The 18,095-nt window shown below is 39.2% G+C and overlaps 1 long non-coding RNA gene across 4 annotated transcripts in view; it reads left to right on the top strand.

The window, feature by feature from the left end:
* The window catches only part of LOC105377714 (uncharacterized), a 126,055-nt gene that overhangs the window by 671 nt on the left and 107,289 nt on the right, over nt 1-18,095 (top strand). The window contains exons 2-4 of one of the 4 annotated variants that reach the window (XR_941199.3): nt 4,327-4,507; nt 4,648-4,729; nt 12,110-12,363. This is a non-coding gene — a long non-coding RNA (uncharacterized LOC105377714). Of the gene's footprint in view, nt 1-164; nt 2,165-4,326; nt 4,508-4,647; nt 4,730-12,109; nt 12,364-18,095 lie in introns of those variants that run through there. The other 3 variants (XR_941202.3, XR_941198.3, XR_941200.3) reach the window with 3 other exon arrangements.

Below are 18,095 nucleotides of genomic sequence, written 5' to 3'. Positions count from 1 at the left end.
CTTCTCTATTGGATCTTCCCTATCAGTTCATAAACATGCTGCAGTGATTGCCATAAAATCATTTCATGATTTCATTTTTTAAAAAATCCTCCTTGACACCAATCGGCAACCACCCCATTTGTTTTCTTCTCTTTATAACAAAATTTCTGGGGAAAAAAAATCTTTACATCCATTATCTCCATTTTCTTACCTTTTGTTCTTTTGTTTGTTTTTCCCACTTTAACCAGGATTTGGTCCCAACCAATACTATGAAGTGGCTCTTGTTAGGTTTACCAGTGATTCCTACCTTGCAAAATTCGGTAGTCAATATTTAGTCCTCACTTCTGGTGAAATTTGACAGAGTTGCTTGCTCTCATTGATTTGAGTCTTTATGTCTTGGGATGCCACACTCTCCTTGCCCTCTTCTTCTCAGTTTCTTTTGCAGACTACAATTTCTGCCTGAGCTAAGCCAGACTCAAAGGGTTGATCTGAGCTTTAAGATTGGCAACAAATTGCTCACAGTGTTGTCTCACAGATTTATCTGGGACTCCAATGAACCAGATGCTCATTCATTTGTAATCACACCTATGTTCTTGGAGAAATGAAACAAATACCATTTTCCCTATCACTGAACAAAGATTCCTTAACTCAGGGGCCAGGAAAAGATTGTTCTAGCTTAGGCCAATCATGACTGGCTGCAATTAGGTAATCTAAAATCGATCTGAACTTATTTTTTCTCCTTTGTTACAAGAGAAGGTATACCCTATGTTATTAATGTTTCTTCCTATTCTATTTTAAAAATATGTATTTTAAACTATTAATTGAGTGACTGCAATGTGTTAGGCATAGTGGAGGAATTCAGAGATGTGGTAAACTCGACTATTGCCTAGAAGATGCTCGCAATATAGTAGGAGATTTTAAAAAACAAATAGAACTTACAGGGCTGTAAATGCTATGCAAGTGGTATGTGCCCCACACTAAAGGAGTTGTGTGAAGGGAGAGGTATATTTTGTCTAAATGTTCCTTTAAAACTTCCCAGTGCATGTGACACTTCAAGCAGGGCCTTGAAGGATGGCAGAGCTAAGGAGGGGTGCATTCTAGGGGAGGGGACAGCATTAGGAAAGTCTTAGAGGTTACCCCATGTCATAATAAAGGTCATTCTTTAGGGATGGCCTGAATACAGGACTGCCAATACCACCACTGGACGCTAGATGTCACAAGTGAAATGAATTCTAGATGGGTTCTACTTTTAAGATAACTTAATGGAACTTCTGATTCACAATACCAGATGCAGATCTCCGTACTCAGGCAAGGTCCGCATACCATGGCCTAAATACCAAAGGTCAGGAAAAAGCAAAAAACAGCAACCTTGTATCTGTTATTTTCCATTTACGTAAGGAGAGATGGGACTTGGCCTCCTCACACAGTAGTGGATTCACCAAGCATAGGATGGGAGTTCAGATTCTGGGAAACAACACCCACCTCCCAACTCTGTGGCCCTCAGTTACAATTCCTAATATTATAGCTGTTCAGAACTGGGATAGACTCCTGTAGTGAACTTGTCATCATTTCTTCATTGTGACTGTTCTAGACGAAACGAGAGGATTAGACTGTTACGTTATATTGAAAGCTGCATATATTTTGACAGGAACTTATTGAATGATCATTTGTTTTGGGCATTACAAATGAATAGTCTCTGTATTAAACGAACTTAGAGTTTAGTGGAAGAGACATTTACCAAACAATAAACAGTAAATCCTTACTTAGAGGATGACTTAGACTTTCTTGTTCCTTCATGTTATTAAGTAGAGCTGCAAGCTAGTCATCGCTGGGATCAAGCAAAAACAAGCTCAGGACTCTGAGACACAGAGTCTGCAAATAAGAATGAGATTAAGCTGTAGAGTGCTGTGATTTATAGGATGGGCTGGAATATGAAGTTACGAAAGTTACACTCAAGGTTGTGGTCACTGAAACTTGGGGGATGGCCGAGATGAAGAAAAAAAGCTTTGAGAGAGAACGGAGGGGTGTGTGCAGGACTTTTGGGATTGTCCTAATCCATGGCACAGGAGGAGAATAAGGATCCAACAAGAAAAACAGGAGCCATATGAGAAGAGATCAGGAAATTGAATTGTCACAACTTCCACTGTGATAATTAGATATCAGAATGAATCATTGTACCAGGCAGGTGGGTTTGACTGTTTAATAGTAATAATGATAATGAAACCCAGTCTGCGATCTCTCCTGTATCAACAATGTATAGCATCAGCTTGAACTCTGAATGAGCCTAATAGCTATACTATTTTTTCTTTAAATAGGGGGAATCTTCTCTCAGAGAAAGAGTGCACCATCCCAATATAGTAGACATTTAACAGCTAACATCCTAGCATGAATTCCTTCCTCCTATTCCCACCAAGAGAATTCTGATTATTCTTTTGTATAATTTCTATTTTCTCAATTTTCAGCCATATGAATTCTTTAAAACTGATGCTACCTTTCATCTCTAGGATATCCCGTCACCCTGGTTACAGTAATTGATTCAAAGATGTGCATGTGATGGAATCTAAGCCAAAGAGATTTTTCACTGGGACAGCTGGAAAAATGGATTTTGTTAACTGCCTCTGTTATAGTCTGAATTGTGTCCTCACCTCCATTGCCCCCCACCCCATATTCATATGTTGAAACCCTAATTCCCAATGTGACTGTATTTGGAGACAGGGCCCTTTAGGTTAAATGAGGTCACAAGGGTGAGGCCTTAATTGATAGGGCTACTGTCCTTATAAGAAGAGGAAGAGACATCAGAGATAGATCCCCTTCCTCTTTATCTCTCCCTCTCTTTTCCCCACTACTCCCAAGTGCGCACAGCGAGAAGGAGGCTGTCTGCAACCCAGGGAGAGAGACTTCACCAGAAACCAACCTTAGTCTTGGACTCCCAGCCTCCAGAACTGTGAGAAAATGTCTGTTATTTAAGCCACCCAATCTGTGGTATTTTGTTACAGTTGCCTGAGCAGATTAATACACCCTCTGTACTTAAACTTTATAACCCAGAGCTTCCAGCTGACAACTTGGGTTCATGAAAGACAAATCTGCTTGGAAGAGAGGGAGCAAAGAGTTCTGGTCATGCCATTTGAGCCCTGCATCAAGCCTCTCATGAAGCTAGAGCTGTCCCTGGACTGTTCAGTTTTTGCTCAAACCACACAGCTTCACTTTGAGTTTTCTGTTTTCTGTTGTTTGCAACATAAAGGTTTTTTGTTGTTGTTTGTTTGTTTTGAGATGGTGTCTTACTCTGTCACCCAAGCTAGAATGCAGTAGTGCGATTTCGGCTCACTACAACCTCTGCCTCCCGGGTTCAAACGATTCTCCTGCCTCAGCCTCCCAAGTAGCTGGGATTACAAGTGTCCCCCACCACGCCTGGCTAATTTTTGTATTTTTAGTAGAGATGGGGTTTTGCCATTTTGGCTAGGCTGGTCTCGAACTCCTGACCTCAAGTGATCTGCCTGCCTTGGCCTCCCAAAGTGCTGGAATTACAGGCGTGAGCCACCGTGGCCAGCCAGCAATGTAAAGGGTTTTAACCAATACACATAGCAATACTTGTGTCTGATCTTGAGTAGACTAACATGTGATGTTTAACCTGTCAAGTTCCCATTCTACACTTAGGCTAAAATGGAAAGTTGCTAATTTCCAGAGACTGGATCTGGCTTCTTTGAGAAAAATGTCTCAGTTGAATGAAAAGAAAACTTATACTAAATAAAAGGGCTTAATCGTTTGTGGAGGAAAATAAAGATTCAAACAGCTTATGTGGAATCCCTTCCTTTGTTCCACTTCAGATTACCGCCACACCTCTAACTAACTTCTTCAGGTGATTTTAGCACCTAAGCCAGTTAGAATTAAGACTGCATGTTTCTATCAGTTATAGTTTTTACTTGCTAAGAAGTGTACTCACTCTGGTTAGTTTAAGATATACATGATATTAAAAACGAGAGTCCTAACTTTTGCAACCATTTAAAAGACTGTAGTTGTTATGGATTCCTCCTTTCTAGCACTCATTACATATCCCTTATATTTTTTGACAGTCCCTCCACTACTTGGAGGCTCTTTATCCAGTAAAGCAACCCAAAACTTCACTGTCCAATAAAACATATTCATTAGCCATGATTTACATTGCTCACCATTTTGTTGGCCCAAATTTATTTGGCCCAAGTCACAGAGGGATAGGATAAAACTTGGGGTCATTTTCTGTCTCTGAGGGCTTGAAACTGTGACACCATACTTTTCTGTTTGTATCTCAATTCAGTTGAAAGAAATGGTTGCTGATATCATAATGTTTAGGTTAATGTATTTTATTTCTAGATCAACCCTTTGAGTCTGGCTTAGCTCAGGCAGAAATTGTAGTCTGCAAAAGAAACTGAGAAGAAGAGGGCAAGGAGAGTGTGGCATCCCAAGACATAAAGACTCAAATCAATGAGAGCAAGCAACTCTGTCAAATTTCACCAGAAGTGAGGACTAAATATTGACTACCGAATTTTGCAAGGTAGGAATCACTGGTAAACCTAACAAGAGCCACTTCATAGTATTGGTTGGGACCAAATCCTGGTTAAAGTGGGAAAAACAAACAAAAGAACAAAAGGTAAGAAAATGGAGATAATGGATGTAAAGATTTTTTTTCCCCAGAAATTTTGTTATAAAGAGAAAATCCATTTGGGATTGCCCAGTGCACACAGTAGACATGGAAATTGATGATCAGCATCCCCAGGTAAGCAACTGGATATACCTCTTCAGAAATACCAGCCCAAAACCCACCTCCTGCCTGTTGCCACTAGGTGACAATCTTTGCAAATATTTTGTTTGAAGGAAGCCTCTTTCTGTAACAGAAATTAGATTCTGTTGGGAAATGTTTCTTTGCTAGTTTCAGTTAGATTTGCCAAGTGCACATATTTGTTATAATCTGTGCTCTTAGTCATTTGAGATTATAGTTATTTCTCATCTGGAACACTCTTTTCCTCCCTTTATTTAATTCACTCGTCTCATCCTGTTCTCTGGAGAGGTACTATAACTAATAGTTAAGCATACAATACATGTTCTGGAGTCAGCATCTGGGTTTAACTGCAGGCTGTGTTACTTCCTAGATGTGTCTACCTTTGACAAGCCACTTGCTCTTTTTGAGTCTCAGTTTCCCCATGCACAAAGTGGCAAAATCAAAGTATCTAATTCAATAGATCATCACTAACACTTTTAAAGCACCTTTAGCATAATGTCAGTAAATGGGAGCTGTTATTATTAAGAGTGCTGTCTTAGCTTAAATGTCACTCCCTCCAGGACTCTTTTTCTGAGTCCCTAGTCTAGGGCACGTCCCTTATATACAATTCCTAACACCCTGTGCTTCTCCTTCAGGCCACTTATAATAGCTTGTAGTAATTTGTGTAATTTATGTCTGCCTCCCTCGCTAAGCTGTATCTCCCAGCAAGTACCATAGTGCCTGAAACATGCCAAGGGCTAAAGTTAAGTTTGATGAATGAATGAAAAAATGCATACTCAAATCACTAGTATAAAATGAAATTCATTGATTTAAGTGGGAAATCTATGAACTCTTTTATATCTGTTAGAGATTAAAGTAACTTGTAGAAGAATTGTTATTCTTAATTCTGAGTGAAAAGCGCTGAGCATTTATTAATCAGTTTACGTGAAATCAAACTGAGTATACCAGTATACCAAATAACTAGTTTGGGATATTTGACACCCTCTGCAAGTTTAATTGCTTCATTCACTTATGACAATGTAGGTTTTCCTCACTTGAACAAGTATTTTTTCACCAAGAATTTATTTATTGATGTAGTATCTGTAATTCAAGCATTTTTAAATGTACTTGGGAATGTGCTGTGTAAAATAATTGAAGAGGCCTGGAAAGTAAAGAATGCTTGGCTGAAGTAAATGTTCACTTTTGTGTAAATACTCAATTTCACGTATTAAGTTATCTTAAAGCAAGAGCTACCCTTGATGAACTTAAAGCTTTAAAACATATATTTCCTAATATTTTATCATGTTATAGACAGATTTTATGTGTATCCTTCAAAACAAATCTGGCCCATGTTGTCATATTAATATTTCAAACTAGAAAATATTAAAAACATTGTATAATTTCAGGAATCTTTAAAGTCCTTTAGTTATGAAATGATCAACTGAGCAAGTAAGAAAGTTCAAAAGTACAGTCACGAGAAATGTTAGGTGTTTGTTTTTAAAAAATAATTTTATGTTTCCAAAGTTTTCTCAAAATATGAAGAATGAGAAGGTTTTGTGGACTTGAAATACCCTAGACAGACAGCAAAATCTCCTTTTCTTCCTACCATGGTGATAAAACCTGAGGTGGCCCTGACAGTAGATGTGTTCCTTTCTTTGTATTAATCGTTGCTTTTCTGGTCTGTTTACCTCTCCACTGCCTGGCAAGATGCTGGGACTCTGGCTTCATCACAAACGAATCCCATCAACTCACCCATGACATACTACACACTGCTAGCAGTATTTGGCCACTTTTGATAAATTGTTTAGTCGTGTGAAATACTTCCCTAAACTGAAGTTCTGGAACTCATCAGGTGTCTTCTCTGACAGTCATATCTTTCTTTGGCTCTCAGATTACCCAAGCAGCTGGGGTAAAGCCCATATCCTCCCACAAAGCATGCTTCTTTGGAAAGTCATATCTATTGGCTTTGGCACTCAAGTAATGTTCTTGCATTCTCTGTCAAGTCAGGGATGAATAATCTCTTGAGGGTGAGTAACGTTTTAAATGTTGGAGGGATCAGTGTGCATTTAGCAATTTGTAAGAAAGGTCAGCATCCCTTATGACCACATTTGCATTAGCAAGGCACAGATTATTCTTCTCCTTCTTTGACTTAGTCTGGAGGTTGGCATCACACTCTTCTCATGTCAATCCATCAGTTTGTGCAATCTTGATATACAAATGAAGTATGGCCTCCGAGTTCCATGGGTGTGTAATCGTTATCATTATATATGACTGAAAGCAGGAGTTGTAGAAGGGTCTTGGGTGACTGTCGTTCTCCCATCTATAAAACTCCTGGCAAAGGGATTAATACGCATCCTATAAAGAGAGCCAGAGTTAAGTTCCTGAAAACAACATCCCATTAATAAGGTTTAAATCTTGAAGTCAACATGGGAAAAATAGGTTTAAAAAGTAATATCTAATTTATTTTTCAATATGGTTGGAAGGTCAGATTTCATTCCTACTCCCACGAAAGTAATTAGAGCTGCTCTCTTCTTAAGAAACAGAGGTATATTAGGGTCACACAGTGTTTTCCACACTTTGTTCTGTATTAGAAAAGCCTGAGGAACTTTCACAAATCCTGATGCCCAGGCTGTACCTAGCACTAATTAAACCGAAATGTCTGGGGTAGGTGCCAGGTGTCAGTGATTTTCAAAAACCTTGGGTGAATCCAATCTGCAGCAAAGTTTAGGAACCTTGAGTTGAAATAGTCATACATTCTCTACCACACTTCAGCTTTTCTTCATTGCCTCTTTAGCTCAGTGCATCTTAACCTGACTGCTCTTTAGAATTAGGGAGCATCTTTAAAAAATTCCATTCTGATTCATTAGGTCTAGGGAAGGGTGCACTCATCAGAAACATTCAGCTTTCCCTAGTGACTAGCGTGCAGCCAGGGTGTAGAATCTCTGGACTAGCCGATCACATAAAGAGGCACATAAGGTGGATCTTTTGGCATTTTTCTGGCAGTTAAGAGCTTCATACATTTTAAAAATTCCCCTTCACTAGCTTTGTTGAATGAATTTTCTTCTTCAATGCACTAGGCTGTAAAGTCCAACCATCTTTCTGAATCTGTTCATAGCAGGGTTACCTGATAAAATACAGGATACCCAGTTAAATTTGATTTCAACTAAATGGATATTTTTAGTATAAGTATGCCTATGTGATATTTGGGATTATAATAAAAATTATTTACTATTATTGGAAACTCAAATTTAACTCGCACCTTGCAATTTTATTTGCTACATCTGGCAACACTAAAGGTGGGAGAGCATGGCTTATTCTTGGGAAAGTCAGCAGCTGAATTCGGGTTGAGGCGAGCACCATCCCTTGAAACTTCAGGGTTTGTGGCCTTTTAGCACTTACTTTCTTGCTGTGAAGGTGGTAAATAAAGAGCCACCAGCAGTATGGGAATTAAAATACTTCTAAAATCCCCCAGTGAGCCAAGAAGACCGAGGAGGTTTACTGTGCAAGAACTAGGATGTGGATAAAGGTGAAGACCTGAATCTGAGTATAGGTTTTGGTTCCAGGAACCCCAGCTCTGTACTCTCTAAGGGATCACTATTTTGCCACTTTGAACTTTTTTGATGATTTCAAGTGCCTCAGACTTGCTCCCATATTCCCCAACCCCCTTCACATTTTTTTTTTACACGTTATTCTTCTTAATCTATCTGAATATCAAATGCTTGCTGCCTTGGCTGAAATTGAGATAGTTTCCAGGTGGAACTGCTCTCATAACTCAGTGAGTCTGAACTAATGGAAACTTTGGAAGTCCTTTGCAGTGTTGTAAGAACCCCCTAATCTCAGGAGGCTTCCCAAGCAGTCTGGATGCTTTTCTGCCTCAGTCTCTAAGGACTGTTCACTACTAGCTGATTCCTGAAATTTCCTTCCTTCCTACCATCCCAAATAGACTTTGAACTGTAAATAAAAGTCGTGGGTGGGTGTATTTCTTAGCCAACAGCAGGTTCTCTACAAAGGGAAAAGGAGTGAGATTTCACGATAATTCCCAGAAAGCAGGTGTTATAATGATTTTACCAAATTGGAGCCTGACGTTTTGATGAATAACTCTTGAGAACCCCTCATAATTTCCCCCGTGGAGGAGATAGGCAAACAGGTAATATGTCAAATCCCCCTTTGCTGGTCCAAGTTTACTAATGGACGGAGGTGAAACAGGTGAAGCACATTAACTTTTAACCTGTTAACATTGATTTTTTTCACTAAGCATTAGCTACTTAAGAGAGAAATGCGCACTGGCAGAAAGGAGACAAGACAAAGGGTGATACAAAGGGGCTGGAAACTGGTCTGCATCTTGGAACATATTTGCAAGCCAGCTGGGCCCACTTTGCACAGATGTTTTTATAGGAACAAGAAGGAGGGAAAAGTGTGCTAGTGTTGGATGCATTAGCACAGCAGTGGAATATCTTTGTTAGCATTGTTCCTCCTTTCTCACTGTGGCTGGACGAGGATGGGGACTTGGTCAGAGGCTTTGGGATAATTTTATTGCCCAACCTTAATTAAAGGAAATTACATACATTGATAATAAGGCTTTTTACCAAGTTCATTTAAAAATGGTTAGTTTGTATTTGTAGGATGTCAACTCTGAAAAGCAAAGAATTGCAAGTTTATTTGCCTGTGGGTAAAACAATCCAATCATCACTAGCTATTTGGAGAAAATATATTCAAAATTTATCTCCTTAGGCATAAATGTTGTGGTTGTTTTATTACAATATAGGTTTACTCTTCCCCTCCACAGATGATTGGTTTGGTCTTCCACTGTTTGGTGTTTCAGTTGCATGTCTATGTGATTAAGGAGGTTGTCTGTAAGAAGGTTGCTTCTCTGTCTCTCTTCTTCCAGAAAATGGAAGAAGTCAGTTTTTCAGTATAAGTTGTAGGTTTGCAAATTAGTGGCCCACCATTGTGCTGTTTGGCCCACACACAGTGCAGAAGAAAAAAAAAATATTTGATTTAAAGCTGGAAACTTGGGAATTTACACACACACACACACACACACACACACACACACACACACATACACACACACACAATGTGGATTTCCAGTGTATTTTGAAAAATCAGATTTGGCTATTTTGTGTCCATACTCCTCATGTCAACAATCCACCAGTTCCTTGGATCTTATACTGGGTATGCTTTTTCCAGTTCACCAAGGCCTGTCACTTTATCATCGGCTTTTCTCAAAAGGGCCAGATATAAGAAGACATTTATATTACCTGTGTGTATGATTCCTGTATGCATTTGAATTTGCCATCCATGCCATGAGGCAAGATTCAATTATATTATCACTCCAATGTCCTCCAATCTGATTATAGGATTCTTCTCCTTTATACAAATGAAGTTCTTAATATTGCAATAGACTATCTGATACTCTGCTTGAGGAAAAATTTGTGTGGTAGCTCTAAAAGTCATTTTTGTCATATTTCAATTTAGTCTGCTTAGCATATGAATAAATTTATGACTAACATAATAACTCTTAAGTTGGTTTACTTCTTTGTGTTCTTACTGATGAAGAATTAAAGTATCATCTGGATAAGCTCATCTAGAAGGAAAAATAAAATTAGTAATTTGAATATTTAGAAGTGATTGCCTATACAGGTAAAATATAGCAAAGAGGTGCTTAACTGTTGACTCTGCTTCAACTGATATCAGACAACTTTAACGCTAGAAGGGACCTTAGGAATAAAATCTGGCCACTTCATTCTGCAGATAAAACTGAACTTAATAGAGGTAAAGTGATTTATTCTTTTTTTTTTTTTTTTTGAGACAGAGTCTTGCTCTGCCACCCAGGCTGGAGTGCAGTGGTATGATCTTGGGTCACTGCAACCTCTGCCTCTTGGGTTCAAGAGATTCTCCTGCTTCAGCCTCCTGAGTAGTTGGGATTGCAGGTGCCCGCCGCCACGCCTGGCTAATTTTTGTATTTTAAGTAGAGACAGTGTTTCACAATGTTGGCCAGGCTGGTCTTGAACTTCTGACCTCAAGTGATCCACCTGCCTCGTTCTCCCAAAGTGCTGGGATTACAGGCATGAGCCACCGCATCCAGTCAAGTAATTTATTCTTGATCACACTATGGGTTAGTGTCAGAGCTGGGGCCCAAATGATATCTCTTTCGACTTTAACCAAGGCCAATTATATTTTAATTACCCTTAATTGCCTGTAATTACATAGATACTGGTTTAGGTTTATTTCTTAGTTTTCATTGTTCTTTATTGTTTATTACAATAAGCATTATTTACAGTGAAAATTATAATGTCATAATTCTATAATTATAAGTATCAGAATTGTGATGAAATTCTAAATTATTTCAAAGGCACTTTTCTTGAAAATATGAAGATGACCCTTAATAATGAAAAATTTATATTTTAAGAAAGGCTTCCAGACGACAGGCAATGCTAACAGTAGTTGTCTTTGCATGTCTTTAGATGGCTTCCTCTGCTTCTTTGCTTTTATTATCTGTATGTACACATTTCCCATAATGAATCCACATCACTTTTAGAATTACTGGAATTTTTAAGCAGCTATGCAAAAGAAACAAAAGCAAATCCAGTCTGATAAAGACATGAAACATTTTTATGAAATTAAAATGTTCTCACACCTCATTCATTCCTATGAGTGGGATATAAAGACCATTTCCCGTGACTTAAATATGCACACGCAAAGAAAAACGATTCGACAGTTTCCCACAGTGAGAGAAAAATGTCTGGCGGCTGTGATTGCAAGGGGGCATGTGCTGAGAGCTGTGACCTAGAGTGCATTCCAGGCTGAGTAGCACCAACTTTAAAATTAAAAACTCAGCAGTTCCAACTCTCTCAACTATGATCCCTTCATAGTATCTGGCTGATATTCTGGTATAGACTTTTGGTTTCTCTGAAATTCTGAAAGCTAAAGAGAATTCAAATTTTGATTTACCTTTGCCTGGTTTGAAGGAACTTAAAGATAGGAAAGTTAGCACCCGCAATCCAACCTCTTTCCCAAAGGCGACAGCTGTGTGGTTTCCAGGGCAAGAGTTTACTTGGATGGCGAGAGAAAATACTTCTTGATAAATAATGTGTTTTTATGACTCCTGTTTCTGGGAAACCTGATACATACAATGCACCTACAAGTATTTGAGGTCAAGTTTCAACTGTGTTTTTATTAAATATTTGACTGTTTTGTGTGTGTGATTGTAATTGACTGAGTTTGAAACCTGAGTGATTAAGGAGCTTGTCTGTAAGAAGGTTGCTTCTCTATCTCTCTTCTTCTTTTTTTCTCTTCTTTCTCTCTCTCTATCTCTCCTTCTATATTTTTATATAATGTTAAGTTTTGTAATTAGCTGATTCTGCTTTCTCATGCTCCTTAATTTTGATTTCTTAGAAAGATGAAGCATTGGAAAGCACTGCATAGCTCCATGTTATCAATCAATTAATGTCTTCAGTCCTTTAATGTCCTCTGGACAGCTGGGATGCTTGGGAGAAGACTGTTGACAAGTCTTGTACGTGTGGAAGACACCATTTTACTTACTTTCCCTTTATTATGGAAGGAACACAAGCCTATCTTACAAAAAGATACATAGGACCCCGGAAGAACGATTTTTATTCTGAATCTCAATAAAATATTCTGTCACTTTGCTTTGTATCAGTAACTAACTCTTAGAGCAAACGTTCTCTTTTTAAGTTTTGGTATGTTTCTAAATAAGTCATGAATCCATTCACACACACACACCCACACACACACACACGCACACACTTCGACTCTGCATCTATAGACCTCTCCGTTGCAGTTGGGATGTGGTGTTGCTGCTGATGGGGTTGGACAAAGGATCCTTTCAGGCAATGCCTAGTGCTATTTCGTATAACATGGGAGTGAAATCCCTCCACTCTGATTTTCCTGCTGAGTATTTTGGTACATTGTCTCTCTTACTTCCTCAGAGTCGGGAGTGACAAGCTACAGCCTCAGGCTGGAGTGGCTGAGGCTCTAACACATAGACAGGAGAGCATTTAGGAGTAGCACAGAGTATCTTCACTCTGAAGGAAGAGTAAATGAAAAATCCCAAGCTGCTCCCAGTTGGTTCTTCTTAGGTCATTCCTGGAAACAAACTTTGATAGCCCAAACTCCCACTTCATGAATCTTCTTGCTTTTCCTCCTACAATGATGATTCTCACCTACAATTCTCACCCTGAACGAAAACGCGCTTGCACTTGCAGATGTTGGTAAGGACAATTCCAAAGGAGAGCTTTACCACAAGATTTAACTTCTTTGGAGAGTCTTAAAAATAATTTTTCAACTAGTTGTTCATTTAAAATGCTACTTAATTTGTAGAACAAGTGAACCTTTCAAATTACCTTACAGTTTATAAAGCACTTACAGATATATTATATATTTAGTAGAAGAAAATAGAGGTGTTCCACCTATGGGAAGTGGGCTGTGGGCCACTTAGTCAGATCCCTACTGACTAAGTGAGCCACTAAGTGGGCCCCTAAGTGGGCCACTTAGTCAGATCCCTACTGAGTGTGCAGTATTAATGTGCAATGTGCAAATTTGGGAAGGGAAATTCAGACAGGCAGTATAGCGAAGGAAAATGACGTGGGAAGCACCAGCTCTGAAAGTCCCAGCCTAGCACCGTGGAGTGGGAGGTCCTGCTGCTGGAGCCATACAGAGCTTGATTCTAATCTCAGCTTTGCTCCTCATAGGGTGGAGGCTTTGAAGCCACATTTCTTGGATCCAAATCAGGCTTTCACTACTTATTTTGTAAACTTGGTCAGCTTTCTGGTGTTTCTTATCTTAGGAATGGAGACAATAATACTACCTGATGCGTAGTATCGTGAGGACTAAATGAGATATGATGTACAATGTTGGGAAGGCGCTGGTGCATTTTATGTCTTCAGTAAATATTAGCTATTATTCTATGAGTGACCTTAGAAATGACCAGTCACATGACTGCCCCCTATTCACTGTCCACACATGTAAAAGGGGAAAAGATAATTGTTACAAGGATTCATAGAGAGCATGTGTTTTGTTAATTTAATTTTAACCTTTTAATTTAAAAAATTACAAATGCATGCAAAAGTAAAAAGACTAATGTAAATAACCCTCATGTGCCCATCATCAAGCTTCAACAATGATCACTTTTTGCCATTTTTCTTTCAATTATTTTCCCACCAGTTTTTGTTTCTGGGATGTTTTCAAGCAAATCACAGATAACATTATTTTAACTATGAATTCTTCAGCATGTAGCTGTGGAAGATTGTTTTCAAGATGACCGCAGTGATTCTTCCATGAGCAGCCCCTTTGCAGTGTGACTTTGCAGCTCATCCCATGAGGAAGTAGTCTGTTTCTCAACAACTTTGAATCTGGGTTGGCCTTGTAATGCACCTTGACTAATGAATGTGGCAAAAATAATGTGGGATTCTAAACCCATGCCTTGTAATTCCTAGGCAAAAGAATCGTCTAGCTGAACCTAATCCATGTTGCTGACATTACCAATTCATAAGTAAATAACACCACTAAATTTTGAGTGGTTTACCGTGCAGTGACAGCTAGCTAACATAGTAATGTGTTTTTTAAAATCCCTAACCTGGATCTTTATATATAACGAACATGAAACTTTTAGCTTCCTGTCCAAAGGACTGAACTCACAAGGCATGAGACATTTTATAACCCTGAGGGTGAGTGTCAGTAGCTGGGGTTTGTGTGGAAGTAGTATTCCATGACATTCATTCTAACCAAGAGCCTTCTGTGGCTGAATTATATATTCCAGCTCAAGTTCTAAAGGATACTGATCCTTGGTCTAAGATGATAGTTCCTAAGCTTTACTGGGTTACAGTCTCCTTTGAGAATCTGATGAAATCTATAAGAATTCTTCCCAGAAAAAATAATGTACATGTACACAGCCCCCTTGCTACACACACACACACACACACACACACGCACACACAGATCTCTATCTACCTATAGATTGTGTGTGTGTGTGTGTGTGTGTGTGAGAGAGAGAGAGAGAGAGAGAGAGAGAGAGAGAGAGGCTTGCTTATATCATAGGGTTTATGGACTAGCCAGTGCATGGATACCAGTTAAGAAACTCTACTGGGTGCTGTGGCTCAAGCCTATAATCCCAGCTACTTGGGAGGCTTAGGTGGGAGGATCACTTGAGCCCAGGGGTTCAAGACCAGCCTGGGCAACATAGCAAGACCCCTTTCCTTAAAAGAAAATTTTTTAATTGGCTGGGTGTGGTGGTGCATGCCTGTAGTCCCGGCTACTTAGGAGGCTGAGGCAGGAGGATTGCTTGGGTCCAGGAGTTCAAGGCTGCAGTGAGCTATGATTGTGGCACTGCACTCCATGTACTCCAGCCTGGGCCACAGAGCAAGACCGTCTCTTAAAAAAAAAAGGAGAAGAAGAGAGGGAGGAGGATGAAGAAAGCAGAAGAAGATGAAGAGGAAGAAGGAGAAGGAAGAGGAAGTAGGAGGAGGAGAAGAAGAAAGAGGAAAGAAGAAGAAAGAAGGAAGAAGTAGGAGGAGGAGAAGAAGAAGGGAAGAAGAAGAAACAAGGAAGTAGAAGAGGAAGAGGAGGAGGAGAGGGAGTGGGAGGAGGAGGGGAGGAAAGGGAAGGAGAAGGAGGAGAATAAACTCTGGTCTTACTTGAGCAGACCTCTACTTGTATACCCAAAATTGCATACTCAACTCTAACTGCCAAATAATCTGTTTGCCAGATATTTATTTCCATTGCTGTTGCTGTTGCAGCTACTTCTGAAAGAGGAGTAACTGTTGGTATGGGTTTCTGGCTGCATTTTAGGTTTAGGGTCTAAAACCTCCTTGAGCAGTGCTTGGTTTAACCAGATTTGGTTCAGGGTCTTTTGAAGCTCTGGGTTCATTCTTCCACCTCCCACCCCTTGACCTTCATTTAACCCAAGCATTGAGCAATATAATGCTCAGGAAGTTAGTTGGCAGCTGCCAGCAGGACCTCCGCAGCTGTACCTTACCATGCTACTGGCGCTGTCCAATGTGCTGGATCCTTCCACCATGTCTTGGCCTGTGTGCTTCTTGAAGATTTCAGTTGATAATTTATTGGCATAGGTAGGCTGTAAATATTGCCTTGGTTCATATTTTATCACTGCTTGATTGCTGTCTAGGCTCTTTATTTACCACACATTAGTTTGTTCATGGTCCTATTGATGGAGAAGGCTAGCCCTTTGGCCACTGAGTCTATACCTTGCTAATACCCCATAGGGCCAGAGGTCTCCAGGAATAGGTGAAGGTGGAAGGAAGCAAGAATATGTTGAGGACAAGAGAGGCAGCCCCAAACTCAGGTGAACTGAGAAGTTGGAATGCCTCTAAGATTGATATTAAAGTAACTTTATTGTTCAAAAAAAGAGACAAATGAAAGTCATAGATTATTAATAAACCTACAGTAGTACCCACCCCACATCACTGTCTTTCCTCTTACTTTGCTTTAGTCTTTGTAATAGCACTTACCACCTTGCATAACAATGCATGTTTTTGTTGTTGTTTGACTTCCTTCATTATAATGTAAGCCCTATTAGACCATGGGCTTAATTCACTGTTCCATCTCCAGAACAGTGGCTGGCACATTGTAGGTGCTCAGTAATTATTTTAATTACTCTTTGAACAAATGGATGAACAATCGAATGAACTGAAGGTACTAAATGGGTATTTTCCAAAGTTTTTTTTTCAAAATTTGTGCATGTAAGAATCTCCTAGAAAGGGCCTTTACAAGATGGAGCTATCTGGGATATATCTTTAAAGACTCATCTTTAGTGTCTGGAGGATTAAATTCCAGAATTGGATATTTAAGCTCTTTGAGTGATGCTGAGGCAAGTGGTCCTAGGAAAGTTGAAAAGTTGACTTATGTGATTCATACCCCCACAAAGATGCATACCAGGAATACTTAGCAAAACAGTAGTCTCATTTTTTCTCCTTGACAATTCAGGGCATGTCAAAATAATAAGTCGAATATAATCAAAATAAAAAATGATCAAATAGATAACTCAGTAACTCATTCTCATTTAAAATAGCTTTCTTCTGTTTTTTTTCCCCACATCTTTTTACTATTCCCTTTTCATAGACTTTTCTAAACAGATGCACATCTCACAAAGGCTGAAAATTCCTCTTAACCAGCTATTTCTTTCAAACTGAGAAAAATTTGGTAGCAGTCATTGAGAATGCAAAAAGAAATGTTTGGAATATTGTCAGACTCCCTTTTGCTGTTGGACTCTTTAATTTAAAGGGCATATAAGTCACCTGACCCCTACAACAAAAAATCCATTAAGCCTCTAAGGACACAATCAAATGATTCATTAAAAATATGAATGATTGGCTGGGTGCAGTGGCTCACGTGTGTAATCCCAGCACTTTGGGAAGTTGAGGCGGGTGGATCACCTGAGGTCAGGAGTTCGAGACCAGCCTGGCCAACATGGTGAAACCCCGTCTCTACTAAAAATACAAAAAAATTAGCCAGGCGTGGTGGTGCATGCCTGTAATCCCAGCTACTCAGGAGGCTGAGGCAGGAGAATCACTTGAATCCGGGAGGCGGAAGTTGCAGTGAGCCGAGACCACACCGTTGCACTCCAGCCTGGGCCACAAGAACCAAACTCCATCTCAATGTATATATGAATGATTAAAAAACACTTAGAAAATTTTAAACCTTTTTACATATTAAAGAAACGTGAATTAAAAGAGTAATGAGAATTCTCACTGCTGGTTTGGCAAAAATTAATGTCTAGAATGGGAAAATAGACCTTCCTTTACCCAAAAACAGGCAATTCCTACATGGCTTTGAACAAGCTTTCTAAAGAGCAGCTTGAAATTAATTGTCAAAATTTAAAGTGTGGATATCCTTTGGCCCAACAATTATATTTGAGGGAATGTATCCTTAGGACATTATTTGACAAGATGTATTTTCAAGGATATTAATGGATGGGCCATTTATCAAATCAAATATTTTAAGATAATTTGAATATCTACCAATTCAAGATTAATAAAATTAGTTGACATATTTCCATACAATAAAACTGGCTGACATTTATAGAGCTCTATTATTTGCCTGTCACTCTACTAAGTGCATTACAAGGATTAACTAGCTTAATTTGCACAACAATCCTGTACATAGATAGTATTATTATCTCATCTTAAATATGACAAAATTGAACCACAAAGAAGTTATGCAGCTGATAAGTGGTCACGTTAGGGGTGACACCCAGATGGTCTGGGGTGATCTGTGTTCTTAACAATGATACTTCATAATGGGATATAACACAGCAACCATATGCAGAGGGAACGAGGATATATTCGGTAGATGAAAGCAGATTTCAGAAGAACTTAGCATAGTTACGGAAAGAACAGAGTGGAGA

This window comes from Homo sapiens, chromosome 5, assembly GCF_000001405.40.
Source record: "Homo sapiens chromosome 5, GRCh38.p14 Primary Assembly".
Classification (NCBI taxonomy): domain Eukaryota; kingdom Metazoa; phylum Chordata; class Mammalia; order Primates; family Hominidae; genus Homo; species Homo sapiens.
The sequence above is the reverse complement of the archived record's forward strand: the minus strand, read 5'-3'. Positions and strand labels throughout refer to the sequence as shown.